The sequence below is a fragment of the Homo sapiens genome, chromosome 4, assembly GCF_000001405.40.
Source record: "Homo sapiens chromosome 4, GRCh38.p14 Primary Assembly".
Taxonomy (NCBI): Eukaryota; Metazoa; Chordata; class Mammalia; order Primates; family Hominidae; genus Homo; species Homo sapiens.
This window is the reverse complement of record NC_000004.12, coordinates 109,709,942-109,737,199: the sequence shown is the minus strand read 5'-3', so window position 1 is coordinate 109,737,199 and position 27,258 is coordinate 109,709,942. Positions and strand designations below refer to the sequence as shown.

The 27,258-nt window shown below is 40.4% G+C and overlaps 2 protein-coding genes across 9 annotated transcripts in view, besides 3 other annotated features; both read left to right on the top strand.

Annotated features, from left to right (window-relative positions):
- The window catches only part of CFI (complement factor I), a 71,018-nt gene extending 64,800 nt beyond the window's left edge, over positions 1-6,218 (top strand). For 4 of the 8 annotated variants that reach the window (NM_001375280.1, NM_001375279.1, NM_001440985.1 and 1 more), the window contains 2 exons: positions 2,404-2,541; positions 5,858-6,218. In NM_001375280.1, coding sequence (NP_001362209.1) covers positions 2,404-2,541; positions 5,858-5,967 — 248 coding nt within the window. In that variant the 3' untranslated portion in view covers positions 5,968-6,218. Of the gene's footprint in view, positions 1-2,399; positions 2,542-5,857 lie in introns of those variants that run through there. The other 4 variants (NM_001375282.1, NM_001375281.1, NM_001440988.1 and 1 more) reach the window with 2 other exon arrangements.
- Positions 6,136-7,012: an enhancer, noted in NCBI's record as "H3K27ac hESC enhancer chr4:110651344-110652220 (GRCh37/hg19 assembly coordinates)". NCBI's record gives its function as "activates a minimal SCP1, AML or CMV promoter by ChIP-STARR-seq in naive and primed H9 embryonic stem cells {active_cell/tissue: H9 hESC(naive and primed)}" and the evidence as "EXISTENCE:reporter gene assay evidence [ECO:0000049][PMID:30033119]".
- Positions 7,002-7,341: a silencer, noted in NCBI's record as "silent region_15626". NCBI's record gives its function as "represses an Ori minimal core promoter by ATAC-STARR-seq in GM12878 lymphoblastoid cells {active_cell/tissue: GM12878}" and the evidence as "EXISTENCE:reporter gene assay evidence [ECO:0000049][PMID:35858748]".
- Positions 7,130-27,211, top strand: PLA2G12A (phospholipase A2 group XIIA). The gene is made up of 4 exons (NM_030821.5): positions 7,130-7,598; positions 18,441-18,517; positions 19,487-19,652; positions 22,705-27,211. Exons 1-4 carry the CDS (start codon positions 7,391-7,393, stop codon positions 22,821-22,823), a joined length of 570 nt encoding a protein of 189 aa, NP_110448.2. The 5' UTR covers positions 7,130-7,390; the 3' UTR covers positions 22,824-27,211.
- Positions 7,672-7,741: an enhancer, noted in NCBI's record as "active region_21807". NCBI's record gives its function as "activates an Ori minimal core promoter by ATAC-STARR-seq in GM12878 lymphoblastoid cells {active_cell/tissue: GM12878}" and the evidence as "EXISTENCE:reporter gene assay evidence [ECO:0000049][PMID:35858748]".

The window sequence follows — 27,258 nt, the reverse complement described above, 5'->3', positions numbered from 1 at the left end:
AAAGGATTCTAGGAAGTTCAAGCTGGAGACAGCAAGGAAGATGTATTGGAAGTGGGTGAGAGAGGGTATGGAAGATGGTTAAGACACTCTTGGAGTAATCAAATGAAAAATAATGAAGGTAGAAACTAAAGCAGGGATAAAAAGGATGGCACTGACTCTAGATATGTTGAGTGAAATAGATGGCATTTGGGGACAAATAGATTACAGTACTAGGGAGAGGGATTTGAGACTAGGATAATTCCCAGTCTCTTAGATGGTGAGGTGATTGGTGTTGCCACTGAGTACAGAAAGGAAGGAAGTAGAGGAATGGAATCAGATTTAGACAGTTAGGGATATTTTGAAGTTGTGATGTCTAAGGAAGCCCAGTGAAGGTGTACAGTACGTGATAGGAAATACGAAGCTGAAAATCAACCAGAGGTTTGGAAGTAGCCAGGAACCCTAATTAGAAGAACTACATACGGACTCTGTCCTGATGGCTTAAAACCCTGCAGTCTCAACTAAGTGGGTTCTTTCCATCCCTCCTGTGTGCCAAGCAATCTTACATTGTGCATACAAAGATACCTTGAAAATATCTTTTTGATCAAATTTTCTTGATGGTAGACCCCCCACCATACCCAAGCAGAGGATCATTGTCTTCAACATATTATGGAACAAGCCCATGCTCATAGATCTGGTGCAGCCATCTCTTGCCCTTCACTTTGTCCCAGCTTGAAAGCTATTAATGCCATTGACTTTCTAGCCAAAGGCTGGAACCTAGTACTTATTTCTCTTTAACTTAAGTTCCCTTTTAGAGATGAAACTTCTAGCCTTGGTGCGGTGGGAAATTAAAGAAATAAAGAAAAATAAAATTAAAAAGAGAAAGAAGTAAGCTTTCCTGTATTAGGCTGACTCATCCCAAAGGCAGTAGCAGGCAAGGCCCAGACCCAGGAAAAAGAGTCTTGATAAACACTATCTAAGAAGCTAGGACACAAAGGAATGTGCTCTGGAGACTCTCCCAGCACTCCCTCAACATAAGGAGAAGAAAAACAAATTTTCCTTTCTCTTATAGTATGAGTTTATAGATTTCTGTTCTCTGTAACTAGCAACTTCAAGCATTCTGTTTTATCTAAGTAGTGGAGTGAAGGTCATAAACTGTCTGAGCAGGCCTGAGATACAGCCACCTGGACGCCATAGTGAAGGTCATGGAATAAGCTGTGCTAGGCACTAAAGGAAAACCTAGATAACTGACATCTGGGTTGCACAGCAACGGTCATGTGTAATCCTGAGTTATGAACCTGTCACAATTTGATTAATTGCTCTGCCTCTGTATCCTTGCTTTCACACCACTGTAACTGTAAGCCTGCTTCAAGCTAGCCCACTCCCTTTTTGAAGTGTGTATAAAAGTCAAGTGCTGTCTTTGTTCTAGGCCCAGTTTTCCAGATGTAAGTCTGAGTACACTCAATAAAGATCCTCCTGCTTTACCCCGAAGTCTCTCTCATCCGCCTGATTCCCGCGACATTGGCACTAGCCATAGATTAATCATTATGGATGGAATTGCTTCACCATGTGGCTTTTATTTTCATCCTGGACAAAAATTAACCATTATGGCTGGAACTGTTTTCACCACGTGGCTTTTATTTTCATCACAACACTGCTGAGGCCATTAGTGAGACATTGGAAAATACTAAAAAATAGAAATTGCTGTTTATCATTAATATTTTATTGATTTTTGTTATTTAAAATAACACAAAGCATTGTGTAATATTGTAGTTTCCAAGCATTCTAAGTTAATGTGGTACGTTAAACCCCACAAATTTTGCATTCTCATCTCATCAATACTACCATGTTTTTCCATGATGCTCATATATATAGAAGAAACCATTTGGTGTTTCTAGAAGAGATCTGAGATCTGACTGCCTATCCTGATTATTGTTCTGGGAAGTTCTATATAGAAAATATAGTGTAGGGCTGGGTGCGGTGGCTCATGACTGTAATTCCAGCACTTTGGGAGGCCAAAGCAGGAGGATCACTTGAGCCCAAGAATTCAAGACCAGCCTGGGCAACACAGGGAGACCCCATCTCTATAATAACAATAACAAAAATTAGCCAGTCACAGTTGTGTACACCTGTATTCCTAGCTACTCAGGAGGCTGAAGTAGGAGGATTGCTTAAGCCCAAGAGTTCGAGGGTACAGTGAGCTATGATCATGCTACCCCCACCTGGGTGACAGAATGAGACTCTGTCTCTGAAAAAAGAAAAGAAAAGAAAGCCAGTCTTGGCCACCCAGAATCTCCCATTCCAAGGTATTTATTAATATATCATTCAGACAAGAATAAGCACAAATATAGTATATTTTATATTTTCATAATTTATTTTGATATTCACTGTAATTGCATTTCTTTTCTTTTCTTTTTTCTTAGACAGACTGTTGCTCTGTTGCCCAGGCTGGAGTGCAGTGGCACGATCTCAGCTCACTGCAACCTCCACCTCCTAGGTTCAAGCAATTCTCCTGCCTCAGCCTCCCGAGTAGCTGGGATTACAGGCACCTGCCACCACGCCCAGGTAATTTTTTTGTATTTTTAGTAGAGACAGGATTTCACCATATTGGCCAGGCTGGTCTCGAACTCCTGACCGTGTGATCTGCCCGCCTTGGCCTCCCAAAGTGCTAGAATTACAGGCATGAGCCACTGCGTCCTGCCTGTAATCGCCATTTCTAATTCTTTTCTTCCTCTGACTACAACTGTGTTTTCTCCCTAGTACTTCAATGAGACTCTTGTGAAGTTCACCAATAACCCCCAAGTTACTAAATCTAGTAGTCAATATCCGGCCCTCACCTTCCTCATATCAGCAGAATGGGTGGTTCTGTCTTTCTTTGACACACCAGAATATAGCACTTTTCCACTTCTGCTGCACTTGGCTGCTCCTTCTTAAGCGCCTTTGTTCTTTTTTCCTTGACCTCCTAAGACTTAGACCTTGCTCTGCTTCTTTGTGTACACTCACTTTTTAGAGGATCTCATTTAGTCCCATGTTATTTATTTATTCATTTATTTAAGACAGGGTCTTGCTCTGTTGCCAGGCTGGAGTGCAATAGCGCAATCTTGGCTCTCTGCAACCTCTGCATTCCGGACTCAAAGGATCCTCTTACCTCAGCTTCCCAAGTAGCTGGGACTACAGGCATGTACCACCATGCCTGGCTAATTTTTGTATTTTTTTTATAGAGATAAGGTTTTGCTATGTTACCCAGGCTGCTCTTGAACTCCTGGACTCAGGCGATCTGCCAGCCTTGATCTCCCTAGGTGCTGGGACTACAAGCATGAGTCACTGCGCCCAGCTAAGCCCCATGACTTTAAAAGCCATTTCTATTCTGACAACTTCCCAATGCGTTTCTAACCTTTATGCTGAACTGCAGACTCAGAATAAGCTTCTTGGATATGGTATGACTGAAATTTATTTTTAAAATTTTCCCGCAAAACCCTCTCCTTCCACAATTCTCCCCATTTCTGACAGTTAGAACTCTCTCTATCCTGTGGCTTAGGCCAAAATTTCAATGCCATCCTTGATTCCTCTTTTTCTCTCATATTCAGTCCATCAGCAAATCCCTTCTGCTCTACCATCAAGTTACATCTAGAATATGACCACTTTTCACACCTCCACTGCTCCTTTCCTGGACCAAGCCATACTTATGCCATACCTAGATTACTGTATCATAACTGACTTCCTATCTTCAGCTTCTGCCCACCACAAAGTATATATAGACAAGCTAGCCACTCTCTAGCAGGAAAGACCTGGAACACAGCTGTGGATTTGCAACTAATGATGTCTGTCATGAAAATAACAGGTTTTGCTGGTTAGATGAAAGTGTCCTGTAAAGAAGGCTCTTTTCAAACAGTTTATGCCAAAATTTGGGAAGAAAAGATGGAAGTGGGTCATCTAGAAGTTACGTGAGATGAGCTGGGCACAGTGGCTCATGTTGTAATCCCAGCACTTTGGGAGGCCAAGGCAGGGGAATGACTTGAGGTCAGGAGTTCGAGACCAGCCTGGCCAACTTGGTGAAACCCCATTGCTACTAAAAATACAAAAAATTAGTCAGGTGTGGTGGCGGGCACCTGTAATCCCAGCTACTCGGGAGGCTGAGGCAGGAAAATAGCTTGAACCTGGGAGGCGGAGGTTGCAGTGAGCTGAGATTGTGCCACTGTACTCCAGCCTGGGCAACAGAGCCAGACTCAAAAAAAAAAAATTTATATGATATGGTAAATCAGAGCATGCATCCTGTGTAGTGGCACAAGGCCCCACAGTCAAAAGGGCTCTGTACTTATTTTAATGCTCTGCTGTTATCACCTTGAAATTCTTTTTTTTTTTTTTTTGAGACAGAGTCTTGCTCTGTGGCCTCGGCTGGAGTGCAGTGGCACGATCTTGGCTCATTGCAAGCTCTGCCTCCCGGGTTCACGCCATTCACCTGCCTCAGCCTCCCGAGTAGCTGGGACTACAGGTGCCCGCCACCATGCCCAGCTAACTTTTTGTATTTTTAGTAGAGACAGGGTTTCACCGTGTTAGCCAGGATGGTCTCGATCTCCTGACCTCGTGATCTGCCCATCTCAGCCTCCCAAAGTGCTGGGATTACAGGCGTGAGCCACCGCACCCGGCCATCACCTTGAAATTCTTAATTTTTGAGCAAGGGGCTCTGTATTTTTATTTTGCACTGAGCCCTACAAATTATACAGATAGTCTGTGGTCAGTGCAGATCCCTGGTATTTAACAGCATCAATTAAGAGGAAAACGTAAACCTTGTAATTACTGCAGCAGAACAACAAATATATAATGATTAAATGTGAAAAGAATGTGAAAATAAAACTTAGAGTCTTGTTTTCTACAAAAATGGTGGTGATTCTCATGGGGAAGACAGTGGAAAGATTTGCTTGAGAGAAAGAGAACAGCTGCATCAAGCCAGAAGAACTGGCATTTGAGAATTTAATCCCTAAGGAGAGATCAGACAAAGAAAACTACGTCTGATTCCTCAGAGTATAGGCTGTAGTTAAGGTGTAAGAAATTAGATGAGATCACAAAGAAGTAAATAAATAGAGAAAGTGGGGGAAAGGAGAGGCTTTGGGTCATAACTGAGGGCTGGAACTAGGTTATTTTATTACATTCTATCCTTTCTTTTGAAAGTCTTGTCCCTGGACTAGGGAGTTGTAAGAACCAAGCCTGGTTTAAGGATTCAGGTGGTGGTATCTCAGAGGTAATCTAGTCCAACTTTCATACTTTGGAGCTGAGAAACCAATGTTCCAGAAAGCTAAGACAATGATTCTAAGTTCCCTTTTTAAAATGTATTGAAATGTGTTGTCTAAAAATTAAAAAATAAAAATATCTGTGGTATTTTGTGAAGACAGAGGCCTTGGTTTGGAGTAGATACTGTCACATGACTTCTCACCTCGACTCTTTTATTGTAAAAGAGGAAGATAATAATACCTTCCAGGGAACATTCTTCCCCCTTCTCCATTGTGGTAGGAATTAATCACTGCCCAAGACTCCTGGTTGAGGGGCTGAGTGAAGTGCAGGCAGTCTCCAGCCAGGAGCTACACCGTTTGTTGGGCTACCCTGTTTGTAGGGAGGAATGCCTTTCTATGTTTCTAACTTGCCCAAAGTCTGCATCCTTGTAAAGTAGTGTTCTGAATGTGAGCGATCATATTCATGAAGTGCCTGGCACATAGTAAGCACTCAATAAAGAGGGATGTAATTTTTATGAACTGTGCACTGAACGTTTATTATAAGCTCATTTAGTTTGTAACAAACACAAAAGGCCAAACCTAGAACTTATTGGTAATTCTTATAGAAAGGACACACCTATGCCCAATACTTACTCACTTTCTTTTTTTTTTAGAGTCTCGCTCTGTGCCCCAAGCTGGAGTGCAGTGGTGCAATCTCAGCTCACTGCAACATCCATCCACCTCCTGGGTTCAAGTGATTCTCCTGCCTCCGCCTCCCGAGTAGCTGGGATTACAGGTGCCCGCCACCACGCCCAGCTAATTTTCTGTATTTTTGGTAGAGATGGGGTTTCACCATGTCAGCCAGGCTGGTCTCGAACTTCTGACCTCAGGAGTTCCAGGCCTCCCAAGGTGCTGGGATTACAGGCGTAAACCACCGCGCTTGGTCTGCCCAATACTTTCAACATTGCTCTGGATCTTACTGTAAAATTCTTGGAAACTGCTGTGATACTAAGATAACCAGATATTTACAACTGATACAAAGTACTACTGCAATAGTTATTTATGGATCCCGCACAATGCTGGGGGCAGGGTGGTAGGTACAGAGAAACAAACGTCACTGTAACTATCAAGTTACAAAATCCCTTGAGTAGAAAAACAATGACTTCCTTAAGATTTATTTTACTTTTTACTGTATTTAAGTTTACACTACTGTTTCTTCCTTACCAGGGGAGAATTTTATGATTTTTATGTTGGCCCATTTTCTTTTTCCGGAAAGTCTAAACTAGCATTTAGCTCGTCCTGATTAGAGTCAGGCACCGCCAAGGCATGGGTTGGCATCTTCCAGATCCCGCTCCCCCAACCGCGGCCACAGCAGATCTGGAGGACCGGGAGAGGACGCAAGGAGGAAAAGCCCTGCTCTGCGAGCTGACAGCCGGACTCTGCCCACATTGCCAATGGAACCACGTCTTCAAGCCGGAAACTCAGCTGGACCTCTCGCAGCGCTCTCTGCGAGGGGGCACAGGGGTTATTTTCTCCGATGTTGTCCACACCCAGAAAAGCTTGTCTCTCGGGGCTACTGTGCTGAGCCCCGACTGGTCAGGTTAGGCCACCGGGGTTAGCTCTGCAACTCTTGCTTCACGGTTAACAGCCCGGAGAGCTTTCTTAAAAAATACCGACGCCCACTGCCACCTGGGACAACGTAATCAGGCTCCCTAGAAAAGGGGCTCAGGCCTGGGTACTTTTTAAGGTTCTCTTGTGAACCAGGACCAAGGGTCTTGGGAGGGTGCCGCGGAGACCACGTGGGCATGGAGGCCCCGCCCCCGTTTCCCGCCCCGCGCGCCCCTCCCCCGGTTCCCCGCCCCCCCCAACCCCGCCCCCGCCCCGCCCCACCCCTGCGCGTCCCGCCCCTCCCGTGCGCCGCTGACGCGCCGTGCTCCGGCGCAGGCGCACAGGGGACGGTTGCTGGCCCAGGTGAGCGGGCGCGCTGGTCCAGGTGAGCGGGCGCGTCCCCGCGACGGCGCTGCCTGCCCGAGGCGGTTCACGTAAAGACAGCGAGATCCTGAGGGCCAGCCGGGAAGGAGGCGTGGATATGGAGCTGGCTGCTGCCAAGTCCGGGGCCCGCGCCGCTGCCTAGCGCGTCCTGGGGACTCTGTGGGGACGCGCCCCGCGCCGCGGCTCGGGGACCCGTAGAGCCCGGCGCTGCGCGCATGGCCCTGCTCTCGCGCCCCGCGCTCACCCTCCTGCTCCTCCTCATGGCCGCTGTTGTCAGGTGCCAGGAGCAGGCCCAGACCACCGACTGGAGAGCCACCCTGAAGACCATCCGGAACGGCGTTCATAAGATAGACACGTACCTGAACGCCGCCTTGGACCTCCTGGGAGGCGAGGACGGTCTCTGCCAGTATAAATGCAGTGACGGTGAGGGGGCACCCGGGCCCAGCGAGGGCTCGTGCTTTCGGGGGATTGGGGTGACGGAGATCCTGGAGGTGTGAGTGACAGATGCAAGGCAGACCTTGACGGTGTCCTTCGGCTGTGGAAAAACTTAACCACTGCTAGAATCTTGCCGTTCTAGTGATTGAGCAAGCTGGGTACAAGTTCGCACCACTATTGTTAGAATGTGAGAGGTCACATTCTAACGGAGAGGTGTACCCCCCGTCCCATTTGCATTGCTTCTGAATTACCTTTTCCCCCCCTCAATTGCACCAAGTTGCCGAAGAACTTACTGACGTAGGAATCATGGGAATAGAGTGGAACAGACTGGTTTTAGCTCATTTTTGCTTCTGTAAATTGGATGAACATGCGAAGCAAACTGAGAATTTAAAAACCATGCCGTATTAACTTTCTCTATAATTGATATTAAATGGTTTTTTTTCTGCAAACCCATAGACAATAACTTGCGACCTTTGTACAGACTTTTGGTGTACTCGAGTGTTGAGAAAGGGTTCCGATAACTCTTCTTTCCTTAGATATCAGTGACCCGCCTCCTCCTCATTGTTGGTTAACGTTAATACAGTTATCTTCATTTACTCTTTTAATATTTTTTGAACTTTCTCTTTGAACCTGAGAATTTGTTTGGTGGCGGTATGAGTACTAATCAACTCAGTATTTCAGGCAGAGATAGTTCTTTTGTAGCACATTTTTGAGTGCTTAAATATTTTAATAGGTCAGAAAAATATTGGACTTTTGTTTGGAAATTGAAAATGTTAAGAGAGCAGTTGGGAGATCATGTTTCCAATAAGATTAGCCAAGGTTAGAGTCTCATTATGCTGGCAGCGGAAAATAATCGGGGATCCAGTGACTTCATTGTTGGAACCTGATTGTATAGGTGAACTTAAAAGGAACTGGTATCATGTAAACCTATGATGCCACATGCTGCCTGCAATTTTCAAGATAATTTCTAGTTTTATGTTAATAGAAGTAAAGGATGAACTGTATCTTGTATACTTTAAAGCGCTGAACAGGTGCTGAGACATGTTGCATTGCTTCTTAAATTTGTGCCTAAACGTTACCACCTAAACGTATGCTTCATGAAGATGTTTTTATTCTTGTAGAACTTGTTCGGAGGATTAAGTGCATAATTTAAGGATCAAATAGTTGCCTTTCCTAAAGCAAATGTTACAGTTTTACTTAGTCATTCCTATTCATTATACAAATATTTGAGTCCCAACTGTGCTTCAGATGTTGTTCTAATTTGAGATTCAGCAGTTAATAAAACAGACAAAAATCTCTGTCCGTGGAGCTTGAGTTCTGGTGAGGGAGAGATGGGCAGTAAACTAGTAAATAAGTAAAATTAGGGGAAGTGTGGAGTCTGATCAGGGCAGACGAGGGGCCATGTTGGAGGCAATTTACTCTTCTAAATGGGTTGTTCAGCAAAGGCCTCACTGATGAAAGAATATTTGAGAAGAAATCTGCACGTGGTAAGGGGAGGGAATGTGGTTATTTGGAGAAACAGCATTCCAGACAGAGGGAATAGCAAGTGCAATGGACCTGAGGAGAAAGGCCAGTCAAGGATGACTCTGAAGGTTTTGGCCTGAGCCAAAGGAAGGAAACGGTTGCCATTTACAGAGATAGGGAAGACTTGGAAGGAGTCGTCTTCATAAATTTATTAGTCTAGGGTTCTAGAGTTTATTTACATTTAAAACATGCCTGAAGTTGAATGAATACCAGCCTTGTTAAAATACTGTTTTAGTCTTTTTATTTTATTTTTTGTTAATATTTTTGAGGCAAGGTCTCCCTCTGTGCCCAGGCTAGAGGGCAGTGGTGTGATCATTGCTCCCTGCAGCCTCCAACTCCTGGGCTCAAGCAATTCTCCTGCCTCAGCTTCCCAAATAGCTAGGACTATAGGCCATGCCCCCACTACACCTGGCTTAATCTTTCTTTTTAATCTTTTTCATCTTCTACAGGCTTCTCAAAATTTACTATTTGGAGTTTAGAGGAAGGTCTCTGGCACAAAAAAACACAAAGGAATTTGAGAATTTAAGAAATGTTATATGCCTCAGTGAAAAAAAATTTTTTGTCTTAGTAAGTACTCTACGTTTAACGGACATGTGGTTTCAAGTCCAAGTCACCATACTGATAGATAATTGGATCTCAATGAAAAAAAAAATTAGGCAGGACGTAATGGCTCATGCCTGTAATCCCAGCACTTTGGGAGGCTGAGGCGGGCGGATCAGTTGAGCTCAGGAGTTCGAGACCAGCCTGGCCAACATGGTGAAACCCCGTCTCTACTAAAAATACAAAAATTAGCTGGGCATGGTGGTGCACACCTGTAGTCCCAGCTACTTGGGAGGCTGAGGTAGGAGAATAGCTTGAACCTGGGAGGTGGAGGTTGCAGTGAGCCGAGACCGTGCCTCCAGCCTGGGTGACAGAGCAAGACTCTGTCTCAAAAATAATAATAATAATAATAATAATAAAATTGCTGTTACTCGAGCAGTCTCTCTGGAACAATTCAACCTTTCCTATATTTTGGAATTCAGGTGACCAAATCAGAACCAAACAGAACAATCCCAAATCTGGAGAAACATGGTGATTAAGGGGTATTTTTAGTTGCACGAAAGAGATCAAGAGAGCTTTAAAAAAAAAAAAAAAGAGTGAGTTAATGGTAGGGAGAGGTTGGTCAAATAAAGGGCACATGTCCTTGCTTTACCTGAGGGACTGGCATTATGGAGACTTGCTCCCTTAGTTTTGGCCATCCTCTCTTGGGTAGGAAAAAGGCCTTATTGAGAGTTAAGTATTTAGGGAAATAAATTTGATGATCCGTTATTTTCTTCAACTTTTTTCTCCCTGACAGCAAGGAAGATTTAAGGAAGAAAACTTTTCGATTTCCTTTGAAAAATAGAACACAAAACTGGCTTGTAAATGTTTTTAGAATGATGAATAAGTCATTAATTAATTCAGTGACGTATGTTTTCTAGGATCCCTCTGGCTGTTGTGCTGAGAACAGAAGGGGTCAAGGGAGTGGGGGAGTAAAAATGGAAGCAGGGTGACGCATGCAGGAGTCCAGACAAAAGACGGGTGATTTTGCTCAGGTTGGTAGCAACAGAGGTAATGAGAAGTAGTTGGATTTTGGATATATTTTGAAGGAAGGACCTAAAAGATTTGCTGATGGCTTAGAAGTTAGGTATGAGTTAAGTCAAAAATGATACCACAGTTTTTGGCCTGAACAACTGGAAGGACAGAATTACCATTAACTGATATGGGGAAGACCGTGGAAAGAACAGTTTTCGGGCATTAGGAAAAATAATAACACATTTGTATGCTTTTGAGAATGGTTCAGTGGAGAGTAGAAATACTGACGAGGGAGAGAATTATTGGAGTCATAGCCTTGGGTAAGTGAGAGGGGGTAGTTTCTAGTACATACTTAGAGAGTTTGGCCAAGAGCATATAGCATAGCCCTGTTAATAGGAACACAGGTAGAGGATATGAGCACTGGTGCTGGTTAAGTGGGTGGATGTTCAAGTTCTCCTGATTGCCTGCTTTTTTCAGTAAAGTAGGAATCCAGGTCATCAGCTGACAGAGAAGATGGGGAATGGGGATGTTGGAGATTTGAGGAAAATATAAAAGTGAACAGACTAGAAAAATAAAGTAATATAAGGACCTTTTGGAGATTAATGATCATGAATACTTAAAGTCTCAAGTGTTTGGGAGTGCAGGTTGGAATCTTACAAAACTCTGCCATGAGACCTTTGTGTGACCCAGCAGACTACTTCTTGTGCTTGTCATCTGCTTCATATTCTGTCAGGTGAAAACAGTTGGTCTATCTGGAAGTATTTGCATCAAATTTAGAAAAAATACATGGAAAATAATCAACTTTGTCTCAGTCTATGAAAATCTTTAGATTTCTGCAGTCCATACAAATGATAAACAATCAAGAGAAGGAGCTATTGCTTAAGTCAAAAATGGAAATTAATGAATAGTCTTTCCATGCAGTTGTACACAGTGGATTTGGTTTGTATCCGCTTACAAATTTTAGAGGACAATGGCCGCAACACATCATGGTGTTTTGATGTTACTCTGATTTTGTTTCTTCCATTATTGAGTTTTTGCTTTATTTGTAAAAACTGGCACCAGTAGAAATGCTAATTTTTAAAATGCTTAGCCATTTATAAAACTATAACAAAATTTAAAATATTAATACATTTGTAACATTGGTGTCTGAATCAACTTAACCTCTAATAAAGAACTGTCTATATAACTTGCCTTGTTCAGAAATAACTATTTTAATTTAAAGGTGAATTTAGAATTTCAAAATACTTTAGAATTTCTCAGGAAACTAGTTACTTCCAAGTTTTCAGTTTTTTGCTGTGGATAAAGAATTATTTTAATTTCATCAAAGAATGTTTCCCATTTTTTAATCTGGTAATTTATTGGGTGCCCACTGTGTGCTAAATATCTTCTAGGTGAGCAAGACTAAGTCCTTTCTTCATAGAAACCGACTAATGTTAATGTTAATTAGGTCAATAAATGCTAGAAAGAGAGGGGGTGCTATTTTAGATTGGGTAAGCAGGGAAAGCCTCTCTGAAGAAATGACATTAGGAGTTTGCCTTGAAAAAAACTAAAGAACCATACACATATGCCCCTTTTGCCATTTACACTGGGGAGCCAAACTTTTTACCAGCATTTATTTCATGGTGTTATTATCCAGTTTTTCATGTACAGTAGATGTTGGCTCTTTATTACTTGATTTTTATCAACTTTTCTTCTTCAGACAGTTATAACCACTAGCCCTGTTTGGCACAGCAGCCTCCTACTTCCTTGTACCTCCATTCTCATTTTTGCCAGTTGTCCTTCTCTGTACTATCTCTTCCTCTTTACTCTCCTATGGTGGGCATGTTTTTAGTTTTTCTGACTTCATTTGTGTCTGATCATTCTCCCATTCAAAGGTAATTATCTCTTATGAGAAAATGTCTATATATGTACACGCATGCATACACATATATATGTATCACTGTCATTACACACATCATCAGCATCAGGAATGTTTTTATAGATTTGAAATCAGAGTCTATGGATTTAGATAAAATACAAAAGGAAGGAAAAATAGAAGTACTGCTGTTGTATGTACATTGAGGGAAGTATCTTTCTGATTAAAAAAAAAAGGCCGGGCGCGATGGCTCACGCTTGTAATCCCAGCACTTTGGGAGACTGAGGCAGGCGGATCACCTGTCAGGAGTTCAAGACCAGCCTGACCAACACGGAGAAACTCCATCTCTACTAAAAATACAAGATTAGCCAGGCATGGTGGCGCATGCCTGTAATCCCAGCTACTTGGGAGGCTGAGGCAGAAGAATCGCTTGAACCCAGGAGGCAGAGGTTGCAGTGAGCTGAGATCATGCCATTGCACTCCAGCCTGGGCAACAAGAGCAAAACTCAGTCTCAGAAAAAAACAAACAAACAAAATAAGACAATTGAGACACATGTCTTTAAAGCCATAGGCCCATATCGGTTGTCTGAGGGTGGTAATCTTTGCTTCTCATGGAACAGGGTGAGGTGCCAGAAATCTCTAGACTGGCAGATGGGAGGGAGGGAGAATGTACAAGGTGTCTAAAAAGTTGGAAACATAGGATAAACATTATGTTTTATTTTCAAATGACACACTCAATATGTTTTTCATTAACCACTAGACACTTTTTTAGATGATATACTTCTAAATTTAAAACAGTCCAGTTGTTAACCTGAACAATATATATTGTAAATACACTATTATTCCTGTTTCCAGACTTTTTGAACATTCTCTGGTGTATTTATTGTACTTTTTTCAGATTAACAACTTGACCTATTTCTTAGTGTGTATCTCTAGATATGTTTCTAAACATTTTGAACAGTTGATTGTCAAAACCCCTGACGAAAGAGAGTTTCATGATGAAGCTTGAGGAACTAGAATGGGCTTCCCAAGAATTAAATGCTGATCCAGCCTCCTTTTCTGTGAAGAGATTTATAGTGTGTTAGGGCAAAGAAAACTATAGATAAATGTATAGTTTCTCATGATACTCCTGTGAGAAAAACTGGTTACTATTTGATGACTTCACGGCTGCTTGGAGAGAGGACTCATCTGTAGTGGACCTCTGTCCTGATTAATATCTGCATCTTAAGTTTGTGAATATCTGGGAGCAACAGGCAACACTGGGTGAATAACTCTAGATTTAAAAACTGCTCAGCAGTCGAGAATGGTGAACTGAAACTAACAAGATTGAATCTTATATACAATCTTATATTTAGACTCAAAATTAAATTGCAGAAGTGCTAAGCCTCTAGCAGTAAGTATTAAAAAGTCCATTTTAGAAAGAACTGATGATTTTTTTTTTTTTACTACTGTCTATGTTAGCAGTCAGGCACAGCTGAAACATACTGTGTTAGGCTGTTTTAATACAAGTACTTTATCCAGCACAAAAGGTTAAAAAGCCCATCTTACCCTACAGTGTTCAGTCTGAGGTGCTGTATTTTAAAGAGATGTGACAAGCTAGAAGTCATCAGTCTTTGGAGGCTGGCTGATGAATGCTCACCAAGCCCAAAAGAGACTCTAGGGCAAACAGCAGGGTTTCTTAACGGATAATCTCCATTTATAATGAATATTCCAAGCCTTCCAAGTCTTCTGTTCATTAATTCATCACATACTTATTGTAAAAATTCATCACAAAGTTATTCCAGGCACTGTTCTAGGCATTGGGAATCCAAAACACAAAAATGTCTGCTTTCGAGGAGTTTACATTTTCGGATGGGGAGACATAATAAAATAGGTAGATTAGTGATATAGTATGTTAGAAGGTCATATGTGCTACAAATAGTATGGTCAGGGAAGACTTGCTGAGAAGGTGAATGTCTTAGTCTGTTCAGGCTGCTGTAACAAAATGCCTTAAACTGGGTGGCTTATAAACAATGGAAATTTATTCCTCAGTTCTGGAGGCTGTGAAGTCCAAGATCTAGCATTTGGCAGATTCAATGTCTGGTAAGAGTCCACTTCCTTGTTCATAGATGGCACCTTCTAGCTGTGTCCTCACATGGTGATGGATGGGGCAGGGCAGCTCTTTAGGGCCACTTTTATAGGGCACAAATTCCATTCATGAGAGATCTGTCCACATGACCTAATCACCTCCAATAGTCCCACCTTCTAATACCATCACATTGGTGATTAGGTTTCAACATGAATTTTGGGGTGATGCAAACATTCAAACCATAGCAGTAAAGGAGAAACTAGTGTCAGGAGAAAGAGCATCCACATACAGGAAGAGCAGGTTCAAAGGCCCTGGGACAGGAGCAGACCTGCAGTGTCTGTGGAACAGCAAAGAGGAATAGGTTGAGGAAGAAAGGAAGAGAGACTAGGAAGAGGATGAGGTCAGAGAAATCATGGGAAGACCAGGTTATACAGGGTTTCATAGGCTTTATAGACTTTGGCTTTTGTTCTGAATAAGATGAGAAGCCATTAAAGCGTCTCTGAGCAGAAAAAGACTTGATCTAACATATTTTAATACGATCATTTGTGCTCGGTGTTGAGACTGGATTATGGGGGTTGGTGTGGAGCAGGGGAACCAAAGTAGGGCAAATAGTTAGGAGTTTATAGCAATAATCCATTGTGGCTTGGAGCAGGATTGGTAGTAGTGGAGGTGGTAAGAAGTGATTAGATTCTGAATATTTTGAAGGTAGAGTCAACAGGATATACTGTTGGATTGAATGTGGGGTATAAGAACGTAAGAACATAAGCAAAAATGTCTGACATTTTTGCTCTGAGCATCTGGAAGGACAGAATTACTGTTAACTGAAAACAGCAAACTGTGAATGGAGCAAATTTGAGGTGAATGTCAGGAGGGACAGCTTAAGTTTGAGATGCCCACTGGACCTTCCTCTGTAGGCCCTTGTAAGTAGGAAGCCAAGTCATAAACTGTTTTCTTAGGAATGAAGGACTGGGCCGGGCATGGTGGCTCATGCCTGTAATCCCAACACTTTGGGAGGCCGAGGCGGGTGGATCACGAGGTCAGGAGTTTGAGACGAGCCTGGCCAACCTGGTGAAGCCCCGTCTCTACTAAAAATACAAAAATTAGCCAGGCCTGGTGGCACACTCCTGTAATTCCAGCTACTGGGGAAGCTGAGGCAGGAGACTCACTTGAACCCAGGAGGCAGAGGTTGCGATGAGCCAAGATCGCGCCATTGCACTCCAGCTTGCTGGGAGGCAAAGCGAGACTCCATCTCAAAAAAAAAAAAAAAAAGAATGAAGGACTAAAAGTAGGCGATGAGAGTTGAAGGATCATGGTGACTCATCTGTGATAGCCTGAGTCATCTACCCTCATCTTCCAAGGGTCCAGAAACAACCCTTCCTTATGGACAGGGCTGGAGAAACAAGACGAAGTGCTATCATTGGCCTTCCCTTTTCTAGACTCATCTTAACCATTCCTTTTTGTATACATTTTTCCTTTAGAGCAGGCTGTAGGTTTTGTTTTTGTTGTTACTGTTTTTTGAGACAGAGTTTCGCTCTTGTTGCCCAGGCTGGAGTGCAATGGCACGATCTCGGCTCACCACAACCTCCGCCTCCTAGGTTCAAGCGATTCTCCTGCCTCAGCCTCCCAAGTAGCTGGGATTACAGGCATGTGCCACCACATTGCCCAGCTAATTTTGTATATTTAGTAGAGATGGGGTTTCGCCATGTTGGTCAGGCTGGTGTTGAACTCTCGACCTCAGGTGATACACCTGCCTCAGCCTCCCAAAGTGCTGGGATTACAGGTGTGAGCCACCGCTCCCAGCCCAGGCTATAGCTTTATATCTTCGTGAGGTTATACTACTCTCTTGAGGCTATGTATGGTGACCTTAGTTGAGCATGGAACTTCTGAGCAAGTCACTGAAACCGTTTATTTTTTTCTCTTTCTTTTTTTATTTTTTTAAAATTCATATATATATATATATATATATATATATATATATATATATTTTTTTTTTTTTTTTTTTTTTTTTTTTTTTGAATACAGACAGAGTCTCATCATGTTGCCCAGGCTGGTCTCAAAAACCTGGGCTCAGGCACCTCAACCTCCCAAAGTGCTGGGATTATAGGCGTGAGCCACCACGCCCAGCCAAAACCATTTTTCAGTTATTACCTTGAGGGGTTCCTTATTTTGATGGTTGATTACTGAAAGAGCTGCTTTTTTACCCTCAATTTATTTTTGGAGGGTAACCTTGTCTTTATAAAATCTACCAATAAATGTTAAATGAAAATTGGCGGAATACTTTGTGTCACTCCTATGTATCCAACTGTGGGGTTGTATTTGGAAACTGCCATGTCTTAGGGTAAAATACCTGGGAATATCTCATTTTAGAAGGCAAGATAAATTGTAGCCCAAAATATTTGAAAGGATTATTGTGTAAAATAGGGAGTTGGCTTATTTTTCTGTTTCCCCAAGGGGCAGAGGATTGTTTATAGGTAGAACTTAAAAGAAAGCAGAAGAATGTCTTAACAATTGATGTCATTTCACAGTAGAATAGGTTATTTCTTGATGTAGGAGGGTTGTGGGAAACATTCAAAGAGCCAGTAGGTGACTGGTAGGTTGAAGTGATTTCTATACAAGCATACTTCATTTTAATGTGTTTTGCTTTAATGCACTTCACAAATAATTGTGGGGTTTTTTTTTGCTTGTTTGCTTTTTAACAAATCGAAGGTTAGCGGCGACCCTGCATTGAGCAAGTCTATCGGTGCCATATTTCCCACAGCATGTGCTCACTTAGTATCTGTGTCAGCATTTTTTAGCAATAAAGTATTTTTAAATTAAGATCTGTACATTGGCTTTTTTAGACAGTGTTATTGAGCACTTAATAGACTACAGCATAGTGTAAACAAAACTTTTATATGCACTGGAAAACCAAAAAAATTTATGTGACTCACTTCATTGTTATATTGGCTTTATTGTGATGATCTGGGACTGAACCTGCAATATCTCTGAGGTAAACCTGTATTAAATGAGGTGAGGTGTTTCTGAAGTACCCTCCAAAATTTAAGATTGCTATGATAATGTCATCTTTTTCCTTGTTACTGAACCCTTGATGCTACTGGGGAACATTAGCCTTCCAAGTCTTCTGTTCTTTAGAAGTACTTCATTAGAACTACAGTACTTCTGGAGTACCGTAGTTCATCAAGTATCCCTCCTAACCTTTTCCTTAGATGGCAAAGAAGTATATTTGTGGAATGGTTGACTCGGTGGGAGGGCAGCAGGCAGAATGCGTGGTCTTGTAATGTCTTGTAGTACTAAGGTTATTGAATGATCATCAGATGACCTTGTCTTCCTTAGCCTTAGGCTTTGCCCAAGTAAACTGGTTGGTTAATGGTTATTGAGGTTTGTATGCAATGAAGCATTTGTGGGAGTTGGGAAGATACTGTCTTAGCCCTAAAAAACAAAGTGTTAGAATGTACAGGAAAACAGGGTGGATTTATCTTTCATACATATGAACCCTATCTGGCAAGTGACCTCTGAAATCTCCAGAAGTCCAGGATAAGCTTTTGTATGTTTCGTATGACATAGGCTTACAAATAATTACATTTTATGAGTTGCTATATATGTGTATATGTATATATGTGCACATTTGTATATATTCCTCACCACAGGAGAAATAAAAAGTCTAATTAGCATTCTTAATGCTCATCAGAATAAAGACATATGCACTTATGTTAGCATCCAAGTAAATATTACATATTTCTAAGGCTAATGTAGCATATTGACCTTTTTGAGTATGTATTTTACTTTTATCATATTTGAAAATTAATTATGATACCATTATATTTTATAGGATCTAAGCCTTTCCCACGTTATGGTTATAAACCCTCCCCACCGAATGGATGTGGCTCTCCACTGTTTGGTGTTCATGTAAATATTGTCTTTTATTTGATAAGTTTTGTAACTGGTAAATCATGTAATACTTTTGGTGATATAAGACTATCAGCATGTTCTTAGATTCACAAATAATTTAGCTGGGTGTAAGAGTGATCAGGTTTATTAGATTCTTTTTGGCAAAACTAACAAAAGTAAATGAAGTAAAATTGTTTTATTTTTGAATCTTATAGATGTTCGTACTATTTAAATGATATTTCCCAATATCACATACATAGTTGAAAAGTTTGGAGTACAGAAGTGCTACTACTTAGAGGGAAAAAGTATAGATAAATCATGTTTTCGACATTAAAACAAGGCTAAGTGGGATAGCTGTGTGGTTGTTGTAGGAGTGACTGGATCTAAGCCAAGTATTATGGGAAAAAAATGTTTATGAGAATGATTCCTAGACACAAGGATTTTGTGTATAAAGTTATTTAAAATAATTGAAGTTATAGATTCAGAGTAATAGTATCTTTGGGGAATGGAGAAATATTTAAAGATTAAAAAACAAAAAAATTTGAGTTGTAGGAAAGTTTTCTGTGATATTTCACATAAAGTAAATTTTATTTGGAAGGAGAGGCCACAAACACTTTGAGTATCCAAAAATCATACTTACCTAGCCCCTGGAGAATCTTTAATGGACTTAGCCTCATCTTTCTTTTTTTAAAACTTATGTTTTGTGTTTTGGACAAATGGAAATTTTGTTACTGACAGGTAACTGTGAGTGTTCTAACGCTGCAGAATAGGGAGCAGTGAGGCATAGCTGAGAGAGTAACATGGGTGGGTATGGGTAAGTGTAATGGGGAGATTTATAACACAGAAAATATTTGTAGGCAGAAATGGATTTTGGAACTATCTATACAGCAGTCATTATCATTTATACCTATTTAGTCTATTTGAATGCAGTACTTCAGAGGAGTTTTGCATTTCATTGACAGTAATCCATCCAAATGCCTTTTGCAGCTTAACATTGGTATCCCTTCCCTGACAAAGTGTTGCAACCAACACGACAGGTGCTATGAGACCTGTGGCAAAAGCAAGAATGACTGTGATGAAGAATTCCAGTATTGCCTCTCCAAGATCTGCCGAGATGTACAGAAAACACTAGGACTAACTCAGCATGTTCAGGGTAAGGATGATCTGGTGGCTTGGGGATGAGTGTACTTTTTAAAGTTGTATCAAATGCTCTATGTTTTAGTATAGGATTTACCAATAGAAATCTTTCACATATATTATCTATTGTGACACAGACTTCAATTTTCTGAGGTGAGGAGCTGATGATTTTATAATCTAAAATGATTTATAGTCACAGAAGCAAAAAGCATTAGGAAACCTTGGGAGAGTAGGGGTGTCTAAGGCTGAGAGAGAGAAGAATTCATCTACCTTGTGCCCTAAAATATATCTCCAGTCATCATGTAAGAACCTAAAGTAGCTAAAGTTTGAAACTCTGATTCCAGTTGTCTTAGTCCATCTGGACTGCTACCATAGACTGGGTGACTTATAGACAACAGAAAGTTATTTCCTACAGTTCTGGAGGCTGGGAAGTCCAAGATCAAGGCACTAGCAGATTTGGTGTCTGATAAGGACTCATTTTCTAGTTCGTAGCAGATGCCTTCTAACTGTGTCTTCACTTAGTGGAGAGGACTAGATAGCTCTCTGGGGCCTCTTTTATAAGAGCACTAATCACATTTACCATCTTTTGGAACTTAGACACCTCCAAAGGCCTCACCTTCTGATTTCATCACTTTGGAGGTTAGGATTTCAACATAAATTCTGGAAAGACACAAACATTCAGACCATACCACCAGTGAATTTAAGAGTATAGCACACTGGATTTGGAGTAGGAATTTCTAGAAGACTTGTCTTATGGGTTTCTGTTGGGAAGGTCCCCAGATGACCCCCAGGTTCAGTGATTTACTAGGAGGACTCACGGGACTCAGCATATAGTTGTACTCACTGCCATGAGGTATTATGGTGAAGAGATAGAAAGCCAAACTAGCAAAGGGAAAGGGCCCTTTGGTGTCATTTTTAAAAGAATGATGATACTCACCTCACAGAGTTGTCATAAGGATGAAGTGAAGTATTTGTGGAAATACAAATAAATCACCATTCAAATACTGGTAGTTATAAGATTTCTCTACTGTCAAGCCAAAGAACATATCATACACTGAAATCAGAAGAGGCAAGGCAGGAAAGGAAAATAACATTTTAAGCACTTTCATAAGATACTGTGCTAGATATTTTATTCATGTTTTCATTTGATGCCAACAAAAACCTAAAGAGGTAGGTAGTGTTATCCCCATTTTTCAAGGAAGGAAACGATGGTTCAGAAAACAGTAACTTGCCCCAAGTGAGCATTTAGCCTGACTTTAAAATCTGTGTTCTGTCTATTATACAGTATTCTCCAAATAGTCTCATATTATAGCCCTGATTCTAATATCCTAATAATTCATGTCAAGGAAGAAATCTCTGCTGCAGGTAATCTTGAATTCACAGCCTCTGTATCCCTTTGCAGCTTTTGGCTAAGGTAAACTAGCTGTAAACCTGAAGCATAGATAGATTTATTTCCTGTTTTCTGATTTAAGAAGAATGTGAAACCAATCATCTTGTAACCTCCTATTTAATAGTCATAGCCTCTCCACTTCTGTGGTTGGTTGTTTCTTAATGGCAAAGTCTTTTGGAGAACTTTGAAAATGTTAAGATTTTGTAATGACAAGTTTCTTCCTTAACATGAATATTTTGAAACGAAAAGTATTTGGATAACTAAAAGCCACTCTGTGCTATATCTCTGTAAGTGTAACATGTTAAGATAATCTCACCTGGATGTTTCAGGTTTCTTAGAATAAGAAAAGTAAATAAATTACCTTTTCATAGTCTTCAAAAAATTTAAAAACCTAACTGGGGCCGGGTGCGGTGGCTCACGCCTGTAATCCCAGCACTTTGGGAGGCCTTGGCTGGTGGACCACTTGAGCCCAGGAGTTTGAGAGCAGCCTGGCCAACATGGTGAAACCCCATCTCTAACAAAAAATACAAAAATTAGCCAGGCGCCTATAGTCCCAGTTACTCAGAAGGCTGAGGTGGAAGAATCACTTGAACCCAGGAGGCAGAGGTTGCAGTGAACCAAGATCATGCCACTGCACTCCAGCCTGGGTGACAGAGTGAGGTGAGACCTTGTCTCAAAAAAATAAATAAAATAAATAAATAAATAAATAAATAAATAAAATAAACCTACCTGACTGGGGAAAAATACTTTTGATTTATATGCTCCCATATCCCCAAGTCAAATTAGGACATTGGTCAAAGAGATTGGATTCCGTTTACTTTAAGCCTCTTAACTGATGTATGATCAGTCCTCAGAAGCCATTGGCCATAATGAAATGTTTTGAGATTTCAATTTTTAAACTTTGTTTCTTCCGCACATAAAACATTTTTTCTTAAAATGCAAATTTAAGAGTATTATCAGACAACTCTGTTAGTGATTATGTTTTTCAAATAAAAAGAAAGTTAAAACACTGATTAATCAGTGCTATTTTAAAAGACTTTTATTTGTCTAGTTTAAACAATTGGGCCAGGCATGGTGGCCCACGCCTGTAATCCCAGCACTTTGGGAAGACAAGTCAGGAGGACTGCCTGAGTCCAGGAGTTTGAGACCAGCCTGGGCAACATAGTGAGACCTCATATCTACTAAAAACAAACAAACAAACAAACAAACAAACAAAAATAGCTGGGTGTGGTGTTGTGTGTCTGTTTAAAATTAAAAATTAAATTTAAAAAATTTAAATTAAAAATGAGCTGGCCATGGTAATGCCAGCTACTCAGGAGGCTGAGGTGGAAGGATTACTTTAGCCCAGGATGTGGAGACTGCAGTAAGCTATGACTGCACCATGACACTCCACTCTGGGTGTCAGAGTGAGACCCTGTCTCAAAAAAAAAAAAAAAAAAAAATTGGGTTAAACAGTTGAATGCAAACAAAAAATAAGATGCATGAGACTAAAACTGGAAATCTGTAGATATATATGTGTGTATGTAAATATGCTACAGGTTGTGAGAGTTTGGTGATTTCATCTAGCATACATTTCAGTGCTCACGAGGGATATGCTTGTTGCTGTGCTGTAATGTGTAACATAGGTGAAAAGAGCAATGCAGTTGCCCAACAGTAATCCCATTTTCTTGTTTTGCAGCATGTGAAACAACAGTGGAGCTCTTGTTTGACAGTGTTATACATTTAGGTTGTAAACCATATCTGGACAGCCAACGAGCCGCATGCAGGTGTCATTATGAAGAAAAAACTGATCTTTAAAGGAGATGCCGACAGCTAGTGACAGATGAAGATGGAAGAACATACCTTTGACAAATAACTAATGTTTTTACAACATAAAACTGTCTTATTTTTGTGAAAGGATTATTTTGAGACCTTAAAATAATTTATATCTTGATGTTAAAACCTCAAAGCAAAAAAAGTGAGGGAGATAGTGAGGGGAGGGCACGCTTGTCTTCTCAGGTATCTTCCCCAGCATTGCTCCCTTACTTAGTATGCCAAATGTCTTGACCAATATCAAAAACAAGTGCTTGTTTAGCGGAGAATTTTGAAAAGAGGAATATATAACTCAATTTTCACAACCACATTTACCAAAAAAAGAGATCAAATATAAAATTCATCATAATGTCTGTTCAACATTATCTTATTTGGAAAATGGGGAAATTATCACTTACAAGTATTTGTTTACTATGAAATTTTAAATACACATTTATGCCTAGAAGGAACGGACTTTTTTTTTCTATTTTAATTACACATAATATGTAATTAAAGTACAACATAATATGTTGTTTCTCTGTAGCCCGTTGAGCATATGAGTAAGTCACATTTCTATTAGGACTACTTACAAGGACAAGGTTTCCATTTTTCCAGTTGTAAAATTGGAACCATCAGCTGATAACCTCGTAGGGAGCAACCCCAGGATAGCTAAGTGTTATGTAATATGCCTAGAAGGTGATGTGAATGCGATTCAGAAGCATAGCCACTCCCATTTTATGAGCTACTCACATGACAAATGTCATCTTTTGCTATAACCTTTGCCAAGTTAGAGAAAAGATGGATTTAATGAGATAAATGAAAAGATATTTAACCTAATATATCAAGGCACTATTTGCTGTTATGCTTTGTTATTTATTTCCCAGCACTTGTTCCTTATTGTAGATTTTTTAAAGACTGTAACCTTTTACTAACTGTGGTCTTACTAAAATTTGTGCTTGATACTGCTTTTCAAAAAGCCTTTAATTAGAGCCAAAAGGATGGAAAAGGCAAGATATAAATGCCTTTTATAGATCTCTTATTTACATTGAAAATTATTACCATATGTTTAGAGCAAATCCAAGAAAACTTCAACAGCTTCTGAAGATGTCTATGAATGTTGAAAACTTTTCAATCTCTTGGAATGCTCAGTTATGTTCCTAGACCGGTCTTTGCTGACTACTGGTTGTTAACCTTTCCCTAGCCTGGGACCTCAAGCCATATATATCCTTTGGGTGACCCATGGCCAAAGTTATTAAGATGAACTGACTTTCAAAGTCAGAGAAGGACAGCATAGGGAGAGGCGGTTATTTGTAAGTCATTACAGGTAGAACAGGGCAGAAGGAAAAGTATGTTCTGGAGAAAGGGCCATGTTCCTAACTTTGGAGATATGTCATTGCCGGGAACCTAGTATCTTCCAACTTGAATTGGTGGCAGCTGTTCCAGTGAGACAAGGCACATGTATGCCTTGTGGCTAAGTGAGCAAACTGGGTTTCCACTTAAATGTTTGGGACCCTCAATTGATTCTTTATTTCAAACCTTTATAAAAGGTACAGTTTTGTAAGCCATTATTAATAATTAATGCTTATCGGCTGGGCACAGTGGCTCACACCTATAATCCCAGCACTTTGGGAGGCTGAGGCGGTTGGATCACTTGAGGTCAGGAGTTTGAGACCAGCTGGCCAACATGGTGAAACAGCGTCTCTACTAAAAATACAAAAATTTGCCGGGCGTGGTGGCGCATGCTTATAGTCTCAGCTACTCAGGAAGCTGAGGTACGAGAATCACTTGAACCCAGGAGGTGGAGGTTGCAGTGAGCTGAGATTGTGCCACTGCACTGCAGCCTGGGCAACAGAGCAAGACTCTAAAAAAAAAATGGTTTATCAATATTTACTATTGAAATATTTGTCCAGGTAACTTTACACTTACAATGAATTCATGGATTTTGTTAGCAGCATTGGCTTTCTCAAAAGGACAAACTCAATATCGTTATAAAATATAATTCGTGATCACAAATTATACAAAAATCAGTAGAAACAGTTTTTTATGTTCAGATTAAAAAAAAAAACTTGGGATAATTTTAGATTTACAGAAAAGTTGCAAAGATACATGGAGAGCTTCTGTGACCACTCACCCAGTTCCCCCAGTGTTAACCTTTTATTTAACCATGAAGCATTTGTCAGAAGCTAAGTAACCAGCAATGGCAATTACTATTAACGGAACTTTGACTTTATTTTTCAGATTGTACTAGTTTTTTAATTAATGTCATTTTTCTTTTCCAGGATCCAATCTAGGATACCACACTGAATTAGTCGTCATGCCTAATTAGCCTCTGGTCTGTGATAGTTCCACAGTCTTTCTTTTTCATAACCTTGACAGTTTTGAGGAGTACTGGTCAGGTGTTTTGTAGAATATTCCTCAATTTGGGTTTGTCTGATGTTTTCCTCATGGTTAGAGTGGGGTTATAGATTTTTAGGAAGAATACCAGAGGTGAAGGTCCTTCTCACTGCATCATGTCAGGAGTTACATGCTATCAGCTTGATGGTGTATTAACTTTGGACACTTGGTTAAGGTAGTGTGTGTTGGTTTTTTGCTGCTGAAAATTACTGTTATTTTCCCTTTCCATACTTCTGTTCTTTGGAAAACAGTCACTAAGTCCAGTCATGGGAGGTGGTGGGTGGGAAAGATTACATTCAACCCCCTGGAAGTGGGAATATCCATATGTAGTATTTGGAATTTTTCTATATGGAAAATTTGTTTCTCCCTCCCACCCTAATTTGTTTACATCAGTATGGACTCATGTATATTTTGTATTTTGGGTAACACAGTATTTATTTTGTTGCTTAAGTTGTCCAGCTTGGCTATTAGGAGTTCTGCCAGGTTGGCTACTATGTCCCTTTGATGTGCCCATCCTTTTGATTTTTGAGCACTTCTTACTTTCTGGCACTACAAGATGCTCCAGGTTCATCTTGGATATTCCCTGCCCCAACCCTAGAATCCCTAGAATCAACCCCTGCTCCAAAGAGCCCTGGTTCCTTTTGTTGGAGAATCATACTTAGAAACCAAGATCTGGGCATTAGATGTGCTTGTTGCTACTGGGATGTCACTGTTTGTAGCAGAGTTGAGAAATATGTATGTATATTAATCCATGCATATGTACACATCTATAATTATTTATGTGTGTACAAAGCTAAACATGAGTTTGTACTGCCGTCTTCAACTCAAAATTTGTCCCAAAATTTTGTGGCATATGTTTAGATTTTAAAGTTGATATTTTCCCTATTGACAGAATAAACTCATTAAAAGAGCAAAAAAAAAAAAAAAAAAAAAAAGGCAAGAACTAACTGTCAGCAGCTCTTTGCAAGAAATGTAATATTGATACTTTAAAATAATACTGCCTTCAAATGATGCCTGTCTCTTTAAAATCTTTTGACATAGTTCTTCCAGGGACAGATATGGCTGTATTTATTTCATAGATGGAGAAACTGAGCACAGAGCTGTAATGAAGACAGAATTGAGATATAAGGGCAAAAGCTAATTAAACGCATCCTCACAGGTAGCCTTTCTTTCAGTGAACCTGTAGACTAGTCCAGTAATACTTATTAAAATTAGTTGTTAGAGGCTGGGCATGGTGGTTCAAGCCTGTAATCTCAGCACTGTGGGAGGCCAAGGCGGACAGATCACTCAAAGTCAGAAGTTCGAGACCAGCTTGGCCAACATGGCAAAACCCTGTCTCTACTAAAAATACAAAAATTAGTTGGGTGTGGTGGCACATGCCTGTAATCCCAGCCACTCGGGAGGTGAAGGCACAAGAATTGGTTGAACCTGGGAAGCAGAGGTTGCAGTGAGCTGAGATTGCACTGCTGCACTCCAGCATAGGCGTCAGAATAAGACTCTGTCTTGGAAAGAAGAAAAAAAATTGTTAGCCTAAAACCAACTCTCTCTAAATTTAAAAGAGTGATTATTTATCTTAGTATTTATAGAAGTATGAGATTATCAGAAGGTGCGATGCACAATGCTCATTATTTTATCCTAGTACAAGACACGTATAACATCTAACAGTAAAGAAGATGGAATCTTTCTATAAAAACAATTCTGTTATTAATAGTTGACTGACTTCAGTAACTTTGAGGAGTAGAATGAAACTTATTAGGCAAGATCTTTCCACATACACTACATTGTATTGTTCAAAATTCATAGAAATTACTTGCAATATATTGATTTAAGCCTTATGTAGTGACTGTTGCTATATTTGAAGTAGCATTTTTAGTTTGCTGTTTTTCCTCACTGCTTAATCCTACAAAAACCAGCCATCTGCCTAAAAAATAAAAGAGCAAAAATGAATCAGTGCAACCGGTATACGAAAAATAATAATTATTAATAAAACTGTAAAGGGATCACTAGTGTCATCTTTTATATATGTCACAATGATGTTAGACTTTTT

What these genes read in the sequence shown, in the direction of transcription:
- PLA2G12A (NM_030821.5), top strand. Translation starts at nt 7,391, where the DNA reads ATGGCCCTGCTCTCGCGCCCCGCGCTCACCCTCCTGCTCCTCCTCATG. An exon ending in CTCCACTGTTTGGTGTTCAT is followed by an intron (nt 18,518 to 19,486) that starts GTAAATATTGTC and finishes TGCCTTTTGCAG; the next exon opens with CTTAACATTGGTATCCCTTC. An exon ending in ACTAACTCAGCATGTTCAGG is followed by an intron (nt 19,653 to 22,704) that starts GTAAGGATGATC and finishes CTTGTTTTGCAG; the next exon opens with CATGTGAAACAACAGTGGAG.